We start from the raw sequence: 1071 nt of genomic DNA, 5'->3' as shown, positions 1-1071 counted from the left end.
CAGGTTACTCATATAGAAAGGCTTACCCCCCCTCCTCTCCACACATCTCCCATATGTCTTTCTTATTTTCATGCATCTGTCCAAACCATTCCTTTGGGAATATTTAGAAGACAATTTCACTTCATATGTATATAAACAGGGCTTGAGATTGTTGAATAAATTTACTATTCAGAAAAAATCATTGCTAAAAATAATTATAAATTATTACATTAGTCATATGAATTACTCCATGAATATTTAAGACTTCTGAGAGGTAACTTTATTGTGTCTTTCCCAAAAGATAAGTAATTCAGTTTTATGAGGAAACAGTTTTCTACAGAGAAGAAGAATAAAGAAGAAAGAATATTAATAGTTTTTGTTTCTTTCCCTTACTTCTGGGAATCTTATGTATATGCTTTCCACAATACTTTAGTTGAAGAGATGCACGTGTAGTAATTGTAAGAAGTGGTTTGGCACTCAATGTTCTCACTTACAAGCCTGCAGGCTTAGGATAGTTTAAACAAACCAGGCGTGGAAGGGATCCACCAGCACAGCACAGCTGCTCTAGCAAAACGTGACCAGACTGCTTCTTTAAGTGGGACCCTGATCAATTCCTTCTCACTGGGTGAGACCTCCCACGTGGGGCCCCCAGCTACCTCCTACAGGTGTATTCAGGCTGGCAACAGGTTTGTATCCCCCTGGGATGAAGCTCCCAGAGGAAGGGGTAGTCTGCCATCTGTGCTGTCTCACAGCCTTCACTGGTGATAATTCTGTGTACTGGAAAATCTGAGGTGACTAGGGTCTGGAATGGACCCCTGGCAAATTGAAGCAGCACTATGGAACAGTGACCAGACTATTAATAGGGAAAATAAAAAACCCAAATCACATCCAAAGGTCAGCAACCTCAAAGACCAAAAGTAGATAAGCCCACACAGATGAAAAAGGATCAGCACAAAAATTCTGAAAACTCAAAAGGCAGAGTGTGCTCTTTCCTCCAAATGACAACACCTACCAGCAAAGGTTTAGAACTAGGCTTAGGTTGAGATGGCTGAAATGACAGAAGTAAACTTTATAATGTGTATAAAACAAATT

This window comes from Homo sapiens, chromosome 1 (genome assembly GCF_000001405.40).
Source record: "Homo sapiens chromosome 1, GRCh38.p14 Primary Assembly".
NCBI classification, from domain to species: domain Eukaryota; kingdom Metazoa; phylum Chordata; class Mammalia; order Primates; family Hominidae; genus Homo; species Homo sapiens.
This window is presented reverse-complemented; position numbering follows the sequence as displayed.